We start from the raw sequence: 15,481 nt of genomic DNA on the forward strand, positions 1-15,481 counted from the left end.
ACACAGCAGGGTGAGGTCACAGAGGCAATGGGGTGAGGGTGAGAGTCCAATGTGGCCTCGCTGTGCGTGGCAAGGGTGGGGATTGGGGTTCATCCTTCCAGAATCTCCAGCCCCTGTGCATGTAAGGATGCCCAGTAATCAAACTGTGGGGGCTGTGGGAGCCAGGGGCTGCTCCCTCACATATTCAGACTGTGGTCTGAGGAACAGAGATCCCCTTTTGGTGGGGGTGAGAACCAGGCACAGGCTGGCCCTCAGCAAATGTCTGACAACTGAGCATCTAGATGAACTGAGCCCCCTCCTCAGGCCCCTTGTGTAGGGAACCGGTGGGCAGAGGCCTCATCCCCTTCTCTCATCTCTGGTGAGACACCACCACACAGCCACATTCCCTGGAGATTGGAGTGCCTGCACCCCCTTTTACCCAGTGTCTCCAGAGCTCATTGCTCAGTAGATGGGGCCCAGGAGGGAGGAGGCAGAGGATGGGGGTGGTCAATGAGAGTGTGGGACTCCTCCTCACCTCCTTTCTCCAGGCAAAGCCATCAATCCCTGGCGGGGAGGAGAGTGACTCCGCCAGCCCTGCCACAGAGATGGGCAGAGCTGGGGTGGGAACAGGAGCAGGAAATGTCACATCACAAAGCAGAGAAAATGACCCAGGATGTAACATTCCCCCGGTGAACCCAGAAACCGTAGAAAGAACTGAGCTCAGCGGCATGGCCCCCCTTGCCTCACCCTCCTGGTCCGCAGGGAAGCTCCCAGCCCTCCATTTCCCCTGTAGTGCCTGTTTCAAGTGCATTGTTTTTTTTCCGCTTGATAAATTGTAATTCATTTAAGGCTCTCTGATGGTTATTCCACATCTCCAAAGCATACTTTTCACGGAAAGATCAATTCCAAGAAAACACTTAAATCTGTGCAAGTTAGATCCATTAACAAGTGCTAAGTGGCCAATCACTCACAGAGGGGGCTTTTGAGTAAGCCCAAGAAATGATCAAACTGACTGGGCGGCTCTGCCGGGAGCCCTGGAGCAACATTTACAACACGGGTTTGCAAGTCTTAATTATTTTTCTTCCCACTGAAATTAAGCTGCATTTCCGAGTCCAGAGAGGATGATCAAAGTCTCATCAGAGAGCAAATCAGCCTCGTGCAGTGGACTGAGAAGCCCCTTCCAGGTCACCCCCAATGAAAAGGGGCCTCTGTTCCTCAAATCTCAGGAGTGTGTTGAGGAATAGCCTCTGGCTCCCGCAGTCCCCATGGTTTGGGCATCAGGCATCCTCACATGCACAGGGGCAGTGGGGAGCAAGAGAACTGGAAATCCCACCTCAACGCCAGGATTCCGAACCTATAGAGACCATTTGTAGAGATCCAAAGAGGGCTAGGGATTGGAAGGGAGCAAGGAGAGGGGGAGTGTCCTAATTCTGACACATTAATAGAGATACCATCTAAAGACTCTAAATGCAGGAAGTGGACCAGGGCCTGGGGCCTCATTAATGCCAGAATCCCCTCCATAAAAGAATATAGTGTGGAAGTAGCACTGCCCTCGGCTCTCAGCCACTGGAAGCCTTTATGTATGTTTTACATGTACCATCTCATTAAAACCTCATAGTAACCCATTGCAGTAAGTAATATTATTATCCTCATTTTACCAATGAGGAAACTGTGGCTCACACAGTTAAAGTCATTCACCCTGAAACACCAAGTTGCAAATCAAAGCCAGGCCTGTCTGATACCATAGTTGAAGCACTTCATCTCACTATTATGCCTCCCTCTAACTCGTGTTTGCACATCCCCAAGGATGGGGAGCTCACCACAACTCAACGCAGCCCATTCTGTCTCTGAACAGGTTTGACTGTTAGAAAATCCTTCCTTCAGGCCACATGGAGGGCATTTACTTCCTCCTTCACATGGCAGCCCTTTTGTGGCGACAACAGACCCAAATGCAGTTCAACTTTTATGGAACAAAGTCGTGAGTTGTTTTCCAGTTTCCATGCACCCTCAGATCATGTAACCTGAACATGCCCAGGTAAACCAAATGTGCAACCACAGGGGGAACCTAAGTACTCAGACAGAGGAGTGGGGACTGAATTAAGAAGCGGACACTACACAGCAGATCCAGGATCCAATCAGATCAAGTTCTGTTGTTACTGCACGGCAGGATCCAGTCAGATCATGCCTCTTGGCATCACCTCATTGCAAGATCTAATCAGGTCGTGCCTCATTATCCTATGCTTATAAAACCTGACCCAGTTCCCAGTTCAGGGAGGCATTACTTGGGGACCTATGTGTTCTCCCTGGTGTTCTCCTTACTTGTTGCAAGTAATAAAATCCCCTTGTTAAATCTTCCTTTGTTGTGGTCATTGAGTTGATACCCACCAAGCAACCAATGCCACCCAGTCTATGAGCAACACTTTTTGTAATCAAAAACAACCCTCTCTTCTTGCAGAGATTTTATATCCCCAGATTCTACAACCCCACCTCTTCCCTGCTGACCCTTCCTGAATAAGGGGACATTTGCTAAGACACAGGGTTGGTCATAGATAGCTGGGTAAACTCTCTTTGATCCTCTGCCCTGATCCCATGATTCTTGTTAAAAATCCCCCCCTCACAAGAGAAGTTAAAGGTCCGTATGATGAGAATTGAAACCATTCATGTTACGTCTGCAAAACTGGCCACAGTCCTCTACCCTTCCCTGTGTCCCTGCCCTTTGAAGCCCTTCCCATCAAGAGGGAAAATTTAGTTCCCCACTACTTCGTCTGAGCTGGACGTCTCCTGGCTTTGGCCAATACAAGGCTGCAGAAGGGACATTGTACCATTTCTGAGCCTAAGCTTCAAGAGGCCCTGTGTACTTCTGCTCTGTTTTGTAACCTGCTTTCACTGTAAGAACAAGCCTGGGCTACTCACTGGAGGATGAGAGAACACATCCTCCAGAGATAAGCTATTCTGCCCAAGGCCTCCTGGACCAGCCAGGCTTCAACCAACACACCAGCCATCCTGAGGGGCTAATAATCCCAACCAAGACCAGCTCAGGCCAGCCCAGAGCAGCAGAACCACCCAGCAAACCTACATATTCTTAAGCTAAATACATGTTTGTTATTTTAAGCCACTATGTTTTGAGATGGCTTGTCGTGCAGCAATAGCAAACTGATATACCATACCTCTCCGATCCCAAAGTAGTTCTGCTTAGTTATCTTTCAACACTGCATCTAGTACCTAGCTTCTTTCAAATTCTCCCTTTACCATCAACTTTACTCTTGAAAAAAAAAGAAAAAAGAAAAAAGCACAGTAAGTTTTCCCATGTCTAGAGAGACCATACGGAGACATTCAGTTGCTAGAACCTATATCTCCCTTCAGTCATTCCTTCATTCAGTCATTCAACAAACATTTATTGTATGCTTGCTATATGTGCTAGGTACATGGTCCCCACCACCACAGAACACGGAGGCTACCAGCACTAAGCAAATAATTGCAGAAATAATAAACAGTAAACAGCATTTCACTCAGAGTTTGCATAAAGTACCCCAGCCTGAAATTAAATTGCAGCCTCAGTGCAGAGAGCCCATGTTACAAAAAAGCAGGTGCTCCCAGGGAAAGGGGACTCACACCTTTAAACGCACAGCTGGGATGGCCCTGCGTGGTGGGAACACCATCTCCAAATCATGGAGGAGCTTGCAGCTTGCAGGCCTGTGCAGGTCCTTAAGACCATGATGACACACAGGGCCTCTGTGGGCAAGACAAGGAAGAGTTCATGTCTCCCCCACAGGATGCATCCTGATTTGGAGCCAGTCCAGGGAGGAAGAGAGGGGAGCTGCTCTGAGGGAGACGCTGTGCATGGAGCTGCTGTAGGGGGAACTGCGGGAGCTGCCATGGGGAAAACTACTGTTGGGGAGCTGCTGTCGGGGGAGCTGCTGTGGGGGAGCTGTTGTTGGGGAGCTGCTGTGAGGGGAGCTTCTGTGGGGGAAACTGCCATGGGGGAGCTGCTGTTGGGGGAGCTGCTGCTGTGAGGGAGCTGCTGTGGGGGGAGCTGCTGTGGGGAAAGCTGCTGTGGACGCACTGCTGCTGGAATGGCTGTCATCGTGGGAGGGGAGCCCCGTCGAACTAGATGTTCAAGCCTCAACCCCTGTCCTGTCTGTCTTATTTAGAGGCTAAAACCTGCCCTCTCCTCTTGGAAGCAAGTGAATGACATCACACCCAGGCCCTCCTTTACCCATGGGCTTTTGCAAATGGCCAAAGATGCCTGCATTCATCAGAGGAAGTCATTTCCAGGAATGGCCAAGGCTCCAAGAACAATCCCTTTCCCCCTGTCTCCCTGAGTGCTCTCTTGCCCCCCCTCCCTCTGTTTCGGAGGGTACAGCAGTTGAGCACATTTGTGAGCACATTTGCAGAGAGCTCCTGATGGTGGGTCAGGTCCCTCTGAGGACTGTTGCACATTCCCAATAATGACATTCATTAGTCTATCTGACATCAATACTGTTCTCAGGCTAATATGTTTAACCTAATGAGGCATTTATTTTCAGTTTGAAAACTACTGAAGAAGCATGTTTCCTCCCCGTGAGCTAAGCTGATGAATAGATTAATCCTAAACTAAAAGCATGAAGTTAACTAGCTTATTTTTGTTCTTCAGTTATGACCAGCCTTGAATTAATTTGAGTTGACCTGGTTATTTCTTATGGGAATAAACAGGAAGAACTTCTCTACTTGGCTTTGTGGCTTTTCCTCCATTTATCTGCTTTTTCCCTTTATACCAGGTCTGAGGAAATTAAATAATAATACCAACATATCATGGGGGGAAGAAAGAATGCCTGAAATTGAGCAGCAGAAGAGCAAGAGCATGGAAGGGAAGCTCTCACATGACAACAGTGACAGCAGCCACAGCAGCCAGGACAGGGAGCCCAGCTGGCCCGTCTCTGCCATTGCCAGCTGTGTGGGGTTCACTGTTGGAGCCCCAGTGCCAGGCCCATAGTGGGCACTTATAGATATTTGTTGAAATGAGTGAAGTAGATATTCAACAATGGTGACTGTTACTGTTACTTAAGGAATCACATCTTCTCAAAAGGGTGAAGATGCCCGTTGTTCCAGACACATCTTGTGGGTAAGCCAGTGTGCAGTGACTCTGCTTAGGGGCCAAAGATGTCCCAAAGGCCAAGTTTCTTTGATGACTTGGTCAATGACTACACCCACATCTCTCTCTCCCCCATAGCCAGCAAGGCCCTGCCAGGCATGGGATGCCAGCCAGCATGCACTACCCTCCCTCCCAGGAAAGGGCTGCCAAGCCATGCCAACTCAATGCCTGCTCTACCCACAAGTCAAAATGGCTTCACACACTTTTGAAATCACCCTGCCTGCTCAGTGACCCAAATTTGCACTGGTGGCAAGATCAGCCCTGTTTTCATTGTGTTCATAGGTGAGAGAGGAGTGTGGTTAATGAGTGGGAGCTTTACAGGCAAAGACAGGTGGTTTCTAATCTCAAGTCTGTGAGTTGTCAGCTGAGAGACTTTGGGCCTTCACCCAAAGTCTCTTCACCTTTGAGGCTCTGTACTCTAAATGAAAAATGGTTATAATGTTTTCTTTCTTAGGTTGCTAAAATGATTAAACGAAACCACAAAAATTGGCTAATGCGGTAAAATATAATTTTAAAAAGGATTTTATATGTTCAAGTACATCTGGTACTTTGCTATTCTGCCACTTCAAATCTATCTTCCCTCTGCAGATCAGTTCTCTGACTTGTTCTAATTTCAAGCTATGGGTCTGATCCATTGGGTTTTCCTGTTCTTCTTGACCTAGATCCCCCCTCTTCCAGGCTGGCCATCATGGTCCTGACAACTATCTATGATCTTGGGATTATAACTCCTTGGTGTTACTGCTTCCTAATTTATCCAGCACCTATTGAGTGACTGTCACATCCAGTTATCTCCATGCCCTTAGGAGCCCAACTCCTGTCCCCAACCAGAATTCATGTGGGGAAGATGAGACAGACGGAAAGAGCTTGACTCTGGTGTCCCTGATGCTGGACAACCCCCAGGCTAGGACAGACACAGCCTCGGGACCTCAGTGGGGAAACATAGTCCATGATGCCTCTCCATCCACCATTTGGGGACTCCTGCATCACCAAAGGCACCTGTTATTTGCAGTTATTAAGGCTACAGGAAGGAGGGATACAGTGGTCTAATGGGGTGGATCGGGAGAGGGGGTGATTTTAGGGTGAAGGGAATGCTTCCTGCTCCCCTTGGCCTTGGATGCCCTGTGACGGGGCCTGACCCTTTCTCTCCTACAGCACCTTGGACAGCAGCCCAGCTGCCATTAAGCTTTTACCCAACTCCTGTGCCCTGGTTCTTATACCTCAAGACATAGTAGATTGACACGGTTGAAAGGAATCTCAGAGACCATCTCAGTTCAGCAGTATCTCTCTTCATTTTGCAAGTGAACAAGGAGAGTTGAATTGAGTAGTGATGTGGTTTGATTAAAACAAACAAAGTCACTGGACTACACAACCCACGCCTAGGTATGCTGTGTGACCTTGGGCAAAACACTTCCCCTCTATGAACCACAACACCACTAAATTATATGATTCTAGGATGCCTGATTTGAGGCACAAGAGGCAGGTAATAACTCACAGCCCTAATTCTGTGCCTGTATGGGGAAAATTGTCTCCAAGTCACCTTGTGGATCTACTCATGACCTACCACAATTTGCCTTCCAAGCATTTTTCTCCTTCTGTTCTACACAGCAGCAATGTGCTTACATTGATCAAACTAATTAGACATGTGCTTAAAAGCTTTTTTATAAAGGGTCTCATGAAACACTGAAAAAGACTCATGTCAAGGAAGCAGCTCCCAGATTATGAGAATATTCTAGCTAGAAGGGTTTTGGCAATTGTTCCGTGCAATCTTCTTCATTTTCCAGATGGTGTCCCTGATGCTGGAAAACAGAAGCCCAAGAAGTGGAAATGACTTGAGTTAGTGCCAGAGCTGGGACCAAACATAAGATTAACTCTTGGCCTTCAGCCAATAGCCATGTCTACTTCCCTCTTTAGGTGATAAGGAGATTGACACAAAGCATTTTGGTCATGCCACTGAGCTAAGAACCCTGAAAATCAGCCACCCAGGAAGATGGATACAAATAGCAAAGATGCTGCCATTTACTGATCATTTGCCATGTGAATCCTCACAATAATTATTTAGAGGAAGCACCATTGTTAGTTCCACTTTAAAGATGAGGAACTCCAAGCTCAAAGAGATTCATGGACACCAATTTTGAAACATAAGCAAAATACCTGGGTCTGTCTCCAAGCAAAGCTCATGTTTTTAACCACTACATTCTACCCACTCTCAAAGGGTCTGTTATACTAACTCTAGTTCCATCCTTGCTGTAACTGCTATCACCAACTCAGCCTGCTTTAACTGAGACTTTCTCCGTGTTAGCACTGCAGGTCCCACATTCCAAGAAACTCTTAGTCCTGGGTGAGCCAAGAAGGTTTGTCACTCTACTATAATGCCAGACTGCACCCTCACCTTGACTCACCCCCACATCTCTGCTCTTCCAGCTTGTCAGGCATGAGACAGCTCCCCAGGGCATGAATATTACTCAAAGATTTGGAGGGCAATATTTCTACTAAAATAAAGTACAAATATTTTATTTGCAGGAGTAGACATGCAAGAGTCACATAGCTTGTTTTAAGATAAGTCATCAGTCTTTAGAATGTTTTATTCATGGGGAGAATCATCTCTGTCTCTACCCCCTAGAATCCCTAGAGGAGTATTCACTCTGCTTTTCCCAGAAGCATGTTCTGAAGAAATATCTGGCTGCAAATAAAATAAAAATGAGGTTCTGCAGATGAAGTTCCTGAAGCTGTACAAACAGGAAAAGACCCATGCCCTGGGGTTAGTGCTAACTAGAGTTAGCATGAGACAGGCATGAGACAGCTTAGAAGTTGCTCTTGGAAGAGAAGTTAGAAGTTTCCTCATCCTAGAGGTAAACTTGATCATAGCCCTGTGAAGCGGATCCTGCCTTTACCTTTGAGCTGATCCTAATCTCACTCAACCAAAAGCTTTCTGGGACTCCTGAACCTAAGAAATAGACTTTGGTGTTAGACATATTTGGATTTGAGGACCAACTTTGCTGCCAACTAGTGATGTCACCTCCACTTGCTCTTCTTTCAAATGGGGATAATGACCTACCTCATAGAAATGTGGTACACTGTTGTAAGATACATCCAATGAGATCATATACACGGTGTTCAGGCCAGGGCCTGACACATGGGAAGGGGTCACAGCATTTTTTTCCTTCTTCTTCTTTTTCAATTTTTTTAATTTTAGACAAAAAAATTATATTTATGGGGCATGATGTTATCTTTTGATATATGTATGCATTATGGAATAATTAAAACAAGCTAATTAACATATCCATCACCCCACAAACTTATTTTTTAGTGGAGCAAACATTAAAAGTCTACTTTCTTAGCAATTTTGGAATATACATTACACTACTGTTAACTATAGGTACCACGCTATGCAAAAGATCTTGAATCTGCAGAATTTAATTTTAATCTGCAGAAGATGCAGTATTCCTCCTAACTGAAACTCTGTACCCTTTGACCAACATCTCAGAATTCTCCATCCCTCACGCCTAGCCTCTGGTAACCACCACTCTATTCTCTATATCTATGAGTTCAAATATTTTAGATTTTATATATAAGTGAGATCATGCAGTGATACGGTTTGGCTGTGTCCTCACCCAAATCTCATCTTGAATTATAGCTCCCACAATTCCCACTTGTTGTGGGAGGGACCTGGTGGGAGGTCATTGAATCATGTGAGTGGGTCTTTCCCATGCTGTTCTCATGATAGTGAATAAGTCTTATGAGATCTGATGGTTTTATCAAGAGGGGTTCCCTTGCACAGGCTCTCTTTTTCTGCCTGCCACCATGTAAGATGTGCCTTCGCCTTCTGCCATGATTGTGAGGCCTCCCCAGCAATGTGGAACTGTGAGTCCATTAAACCTATTTTTCTTTAAAAATTACCCAGTCTTGGGTATGTCTTTATCAGCAGTGTGAAAATGGACTAATACTGCATTATCCCAGCCCTTCCTGAACCCTCTCCCCAACTCCTACCCTTAGGAGCCTCTAGATCTATCACAGAGTGGGCTAGCACCCCACATTGAGTTAAGATGCATCCACTCTCTGCTCCACTCATATCATATCTTGTCAATAACTTTTCAGAAAACAAACAAAAAAAACTCAAAACAGCAAGCAGCTTTGAGAAAGCAGCTGCAAGGCAATTGGATAGGACAGGTGTCAGGAGCTCAAAAGGATAGCTAGAGGATGCTCAGCTCTCACCTTGACCATAGTGGGATGGGGGCTGCAAGCCTAGTCTACATCCTAGCTCTGCCCCAGCATAGCCTCGGGTCAATTACTCACCTTCCTGGCCTTCTGTTCCCACCTCTGTAATAACTTGCCTGGGCCCCAGTCTCTCTAAGGCTCCTCTCCTCTGACTTTCAGGAGACTCTAATTAGCACTAACCCCAGGGCATGGGTCTTTTGTCATTTGTACAGCTTCAGGAACTTCATCGCAGAACCTCATTTGTATTTTATTTGCAGCCAGATATTTCTTCAGGACATGCTTCTGGGAAAAGCAGAAACCCTAACTCTCCCAGTCACCTGCATTCCTGTTAATGAGGCCAGGGTTCCTGAGCCTCCCCCTCCCAGGGCAGTGTATGGGAGAACAGAGAGCAAGAGACCAGAATTCAAGTCTGAACCCTTATGTCTGCTCAGAGAGTCACCATGAGCACATCCCTACCCTACTCTGGGCCTCAGTTCCTCTGTTTAAGTAAAATGCACTGTATCTCCAGGACTCCCACAACCTGATAGTCTGCGATGCTTACATGCCACAACACACCCTGACCTGCCTCACATGAGATTCATTCAAAAGCCATCTGCAGAGGCCCTACTGTGCACCCACTGGTATCCCTGTGACTGGCCCTGGGATACAAGCATAGTCAGGGCCCTGTTTGATCCTCGAGTAGCTTTGGGGCCTATGGGGAAGGGAACCACATGGAGTAATGTTCACAACACGGTGGGCAAAAGGCCAGGACAAGGCCAGCACAGGGCACTGCAGGACCCATGAGTGTCCATTTTGGATTTTCTCAAGAGCTCCCCAAGAGCCTGGGCACACCTGCTCTGTGGCCTCTAGACCCATCTCACAACTTGCCTCCTGCTAGGCCTTCGGCAAGCTGTCTGTCTCCCTGGGGCTCCCTTTGGTTGTTGCCTGGTCTGTAAAATCCAAGTCTCAGTTCAAACATAGCTGGTCTCAGTTCAAATGCCACCTCCTGAAAGAGGCTTTTCCATGCCTCCAACCTGAAGTAGCCCCTGGTCACTCTCTGTCATGCAGTCTTGAGATTATATTTTCATTCATTACTTGTCAATTGCTTTTTTTTCCCTTTTTGAAACAGGGCCTTGCTCAATCACCTAGGCTGGAGTGCAGTGGTGCATTCAAGGCTCACTGCAGCCTCAACTTCCCAGGCTCAAGCTATCCTTCCACCTCAGCCTCCCGAGTACCTGGACTACAGGTACGCACCATGCCCAGCTAATTTTTTATATTTTGTAGAGACGAGGTCTCGCCATGTTGCCCAGGCTGGCCTTGATCAAACTCCTGGGCTCAAGTGATCCACCCGCCTTGGCCCCTCAGAGTGTTGGGATTACATGTATGATCCACCACACCCAGTTTTGTTAATTGTCTTAACATCTCTGACTGACCACACACACAAATCAAATGAGATTATTTCATTCATTCATACAATAAGTATTTATGTGCCAGGCAATATTCTAAGCTCTAGAAATTATTAATAAGCAAAACAATGCAACACCCCTTTCTTCACAGATGCTATGTGTTGCTACAGAGACAGATGATAAGCAAGGGAAATAAATCAAATATACACGGAATATGCCAGATAGTGGTAAGCGATGAGGAGACATCAGATAGAGATGGGGGATGAAGAATGTCAGGAGATTGGGGTGCGGTTTTATACGGGTGATCAGGAAAGGCCTCAGTAAGGACTCACTTGGGAACAGCCCGAAGGCTGGGAGCCATGAGGACATCTTGGGTGGTCAGCCCAGGCAGCGGAAGCCACACGTGCAGATTCCCAGAGGTGAGAGTGACCCTGGCATGCTCAAGGGTCAGCAGGGAGGCCCAAGTGGCTGGGGCAGAGTAAAGAGGGGTAGGGGATGAGGTCAGAGAGGTCATGGGGCCTGGGACCAGGAGAGGACTCAGGCTTTAATCTGCAGAAGCTGGGCACCCATGGAGAGTGTGAGCAAGGAAGGAAATGGTTGCAGGGGCATTTTTAAAGGCTCTCTCCTGCTTCTAGGTGGAGACGAGACCACAGGGCGCAAGAGTGAAATCGAACTGGGGAGATGATCGGGCATCTCCTGCAATCATCCTGGCAGTGGGTGACAGTGAATGGAATCAGGGTGGGAGCTGGAGGGTTAGAGATGATTAATTAAAAAGCGTCTGACACAGTGCTGGCGCACAGTAGGCCCTCAGGCGATGGTAGCTGTGATGACTCATATACTGAAAGTTCTGGGAGCCCTAAATTGAAATCTCTTGGCTGTCTGGCCACATTGCTCTGGCCTAGTACCGACGTCATCTCTCAGAGGAGATTAACAAAGACAAATCTTCAGACTGCATAGAAAATATCACTGATGATATGGTGAGGGGGTAAGTTGCTTGCCAAGGTCTTCGGAGTAATAGGAAAAGACAAGAGGGCCGGATTATACAAGTGATAAAACGCTGACATCTCACACATACGACATGTGCTTGAAAGATGCACATTCAGATTCTTTTTAAGGGTAAAGTAACCTTTAAAAGTGATTTATTCCTCCTCGGTTTAAAAAAAAATGTTTGAGAGGTAAAATATATGTGTGCGGCAACTTGAGTTTTCCCAAGTTAAACCCTTCCTCCTGCAATATATTCTCTCAGTGGGCTTTTTACTGGACGGTGATTATATCAATAGCACACTATGTTCACACGGGCAAGAGATCACACACATTTCTTCTGGAGTGAAACTGACTGTCAGTTTAGATTAGAAAATCTGGCTGGTTGACACAGGCAGGGAGCAGTGTGTGTGTGTGTGTGTGTGTGTGTGTGTGTGTGTGTGTACATCTTAAAAGGAAAAAAGAAAAGAAAACAGCCACAGAGCAATGTAGCAATTTAAAGATACCATTCATTTTGTTGGGTTTTGTTTTCAATGAAAATATCAGGAAAGCATTCCCAGTAGATCACAGGGGACCCAAGAAAATGGAGAGGTGCAGCCCAGCAGACAAGAAAATGGGGCTTGCACTCTTGGGGGGCAGGTGTCAGGACCCTTCCCCAAGCCGGCAGGGTGACCTTGAACCTGTTGCTATTCCTCTCTGGGCCTCCATTCCCCCAATGTGTAAAACATGGACTCCTTGGTCTCTATGATTCCTTCCAACTTCTAAAATTATAAATCAGTCAAAGATGAAGGATGATAAATGAAGGAGTGGAGAGGAGGCAGGAAGGACAATCTTATTGATCTTGAGACTTTGATTCAAAGAACAAAAGTGAGAGGAAATGTCGCTCTCGGTGAGAATGTTGTGACTCACCCTGGATGAATGAGGCAGCAGAGTTGGTTAGATATCTTCACCTCTATCACCTCGATCTTCCCCATAGTCCCAGAAGGTGGGGATAATTATCCCCACTGCGTGAATGTGGCAGCTGTGACTCGCAGAGGTGGTGGGACCTGCCCAAGATTGCATTGCTGGTGAGTCACCTGCCAGAGCTGGATTTCAACTGATTCCAAATTGCACACTCCTGTTCCAGCTGCCCAGACCTGAATTCTCAAGACAGAGCCTGAAGGAGGGACCTGAGGCTGCTCTGCCTCTCTCTGAGATGGCCACGAAAGCTGAGGTTGGGAGGGACTGCAGTGTGGGCTCACAGAGAGCTGCTGTCATTCTCCCAGGGCCAGTCACAGAGATCCTGCTCCTTTGCTAGTTAGGACCAAACAGGAAAATGGACTTTCAGCTTTGTATCTGGTGAAACTTGACTGGAGAAAGCTGTTTGGGCCTGAAAACAGAATGAGGCATCTCACTTTTCCCTCTAGGTCTAGGCAGGGACTCCCTGGGAGATGAGGTTTTTCAGGAGACCTGGGCAGTTGGCTGCCGGGAGAATCGCCACCCACAGCCCTTCATCCCTGGGAGCAGAGACCCCGAGAGAGGGGCAGACCTACCTGCAGAAGGTGGACCCCAGCCCACATGCCAAGGAGGAACAGGGGCATGCACCACCTCAGGGTCAACTTTTGTGTTTGCCTCTTCCAGACCCACCCAGTAAACCAACTTCAGCCTGATCCCAGCGTCCCAAACTCAGTGTCTTCCACCCAGTAGGTGCTCCTGGGAGCTGAAGTAGCTCAGCAAGGCAGCAAAGATCAACTTGGCTAAAATTTGCCTGAAACCACTTTCAAAATGAAACACATCAGGGAACAAGTGGCTGGGTGGTGGTCAAGATGACCAAATTTTTTCTCTTCAGACTTCACCATTTCTTGATTACACCCTGGGCAAACAGCGAGAGACAGAAATCACAGGAAAGGTGCTTCTGCTATACACAGTCCCAGGCAAGGTGTGCAGAGGTGAGACCCACCCCAGGTCTTCTGCTCCCACCCCAGGCCTAATTCACTGATCTCTGCATTTCCACATATCCCATGTCTCCTCCTGGGTGAGCTGTTGGTAGCTCAAACACAATATGTCCAAAAGTGAATTCAACTTCTCTCTAACCTAACTCTCACTGTGTTCCCAGGGTCCAAGGTTTGAGCAACTCTCCTAGTCACCCAATCTTGGAAACTCAGTGTCATCTTGTTACACTTTGACAAAGAATTTTACTTAAGAAAATTGCCCAGCATTTTCTGAGATGCCCAGAAAACGCTGGAGAGCTGAACAAGGCTGGATCACTTCAGACCAGACACAAAACGGCCATAGTTTATGAGCGAACAATACATGTTTGATGAATAAATGGACAAACCCATGCATGAATAAAAGAGCAATGAATGAATGAAGTCATGCATGAAAAAGCATATTAGTAAGTGAACGAATGAATGGATGAGCCAATTAAAGAAAGAATGAATAAATAAAAAGAAGTAAATGAGAGGTAGAATACCACTTATATTAAAATCTAAGAAAACAATATCTGAACAAAGTACAAATAAATGAAAGAAGAAATGGGGGCACTAATGATGGAAGAAAGGATATAGTCACACGTGAATGAGTGTGAGAAGTAATTTTTTGAGACAAGGTCTTGCTCTGTTGTGCAGGCTGGAGAGCAGTGACACCATCTCAGCTCACTGCAGACTCAACCTCCTGGGCTCAAGTTCTCCTCTCACCTTAGCCTCCTGAGTAGCTGGGACTAGCGGCACACACCACCATGCCCATCTAATTTCTGTATTTTTTGTAGACATGGGGTCTCACCATGTTGCCCAAACTGGTCTCAAACTCCTGGGCTCAAGGCAATCCTCCTGCCTTGGCCTCCCAAAGTGCTGGGACTATAGGCAAGAGTCACCACGCCCAACATGAGAAAGAATTTTTAAATAGATTTTGAAACCGATGCAAGAGATGAATAATGAATAGTGAATGAATAAATGAGTGAATGAATGAAGTAAATGTACAAGGATTAACCAGCAAATGAGTAACTGAACCAATACATAAATGGATACAAATGGTGAAGGTGGTCCAGCCTTGATATGAGGGGGTGATGTGGTACAGGGAGGGATGCTGACAAACTCCATGGGAATTCAGTGGGACACCGTGGAGTTGAGGTCTTGGTAAACTAGCCACATTCCTCTTGGGGAAGATTTTTAAAGGGACTTCCATTTGAATTTAATAAGAATATTATTAAACAAATATCAGCTGACGCTAGCTGCTTTCCAGGATTAACTCTAGGTTCGTTGGAAAGAGCTCAATAGAATTGACGATACTGTTGTTCTGTTGCAGATAATTACCCATTACACAGCACCCCTCCAGCATGATTTTGATAATTGCTATTAAAATAAGGACTTCCACTGTCTCTTTACAAATTAACCTCCAAGAGGTGTAATTACTATCGTGGCAGGGAGGTTGGCTGTGTGGCCTGGGAATGATGGCTGGGGTTGAAGCTGTTGCAGTGACCACCTTGTGAGACCCGGCATGGGGTCCAGTAAGGAGGCATGAGACTAGGGTCTGGGGGCTCAGAAGTTCTGGGTTGCAGGCCCCATCCCCTGCCATGAAACATCACACAAGTCGTTCACCTGTTTGGGTCTCAGCTCCATTCCCTATGAAACTGAGGATGGTTCCCCTGAGCTCCCACAGCAATCCCCCACCCACCCCAGGGAGAGCAACAGAGTCTTCTTTTGACATGTGCCGCCTCCCCAGACTAAGGATGGAGACCCCTCAGTGCATCTCAGCAGCAGCACGGGGCCTGGCATGTAGTAGGTGCTCAGTAAGCACTGGCCCAGGGAATTAA

At 46.9% G+C, this 15,481-nt stretch overlaps 4 annotated features.

Moving 5' to 3' along the window:
* Positions 901–1,070: an enhancer, noted in NCBI's record as "experimental_6672 CRE fragment used in MPRA reporter constructs". NCBI's record gives its function as "activates a minimal promoter by MPRAs in K562 erythroleukemia cells, with activity observed for the introgressed 1:31079684 variant allele {active_cell/tissue: K562}" and the evidence as "EXISTENCE:reporter gene assay evidence [ECO:0000049][PMID:34662402]".
* Positions 6,178–6,378: a silencer, noted in NCBI's record as "peak154 fragment used in MPRA reporter construct". NCBI's record gives its function as "represses an SCP1 promoter by STARR-seq MPRAs in K562 erythroleukemia cells {active_cell/tissue: K562}" and the evidence as "EXISTENCE:reporter gene assay evidence [ECO:0000049][PMID:32103011]".
* Positions 11,732–11,901: an enhancer, noted in NCBI's record as "experimental_6678 CRE fragment used in MPRA reporter constructs". NCBI's record gives its function as "activates a minimal promoter by MPRAs in K562 erythroleukemia cells, with activity observed for the non-introgressed 1:31090515 variant allele {active_cell/tissue: K562}" and the evidence as "EXISTENCE:reporter gene assay evidence [ECO:0000049][PMID:34662402]".
* Positions 12,119–13,318: an enhancer, noted in NCBI's record as "P300/CBP strongly-dependent group 1 enhancer chr1:31090817-31092016 (GRCh37/hg19 assembly coordinates)". NCBI's record gives its function as "activates an origin of replication core promoter dependent on BRD2, BRD4, P300/CBP, MED14 and CDK7 cofactors, with strong dependence on P300/CBP, by STARR-seq in HCT116 cells {active_cell/tissue: HCT116}" and the evidence as "EXISTENCE:reporter gene assay evidence [ECO:0000049][PMID:35650434]".

Source organism: Homo sapiens, chromosome 1 (genome assembly GCF_000001405.40).
Source record: "Homo sapiens chromosome 1, GRCh38.p14 Primary Assembly".
NCBI lineage: Eukaryota > Metazoa > Chordata > Mammalia > Primates > Hominidae > Homo > Homo sapiens.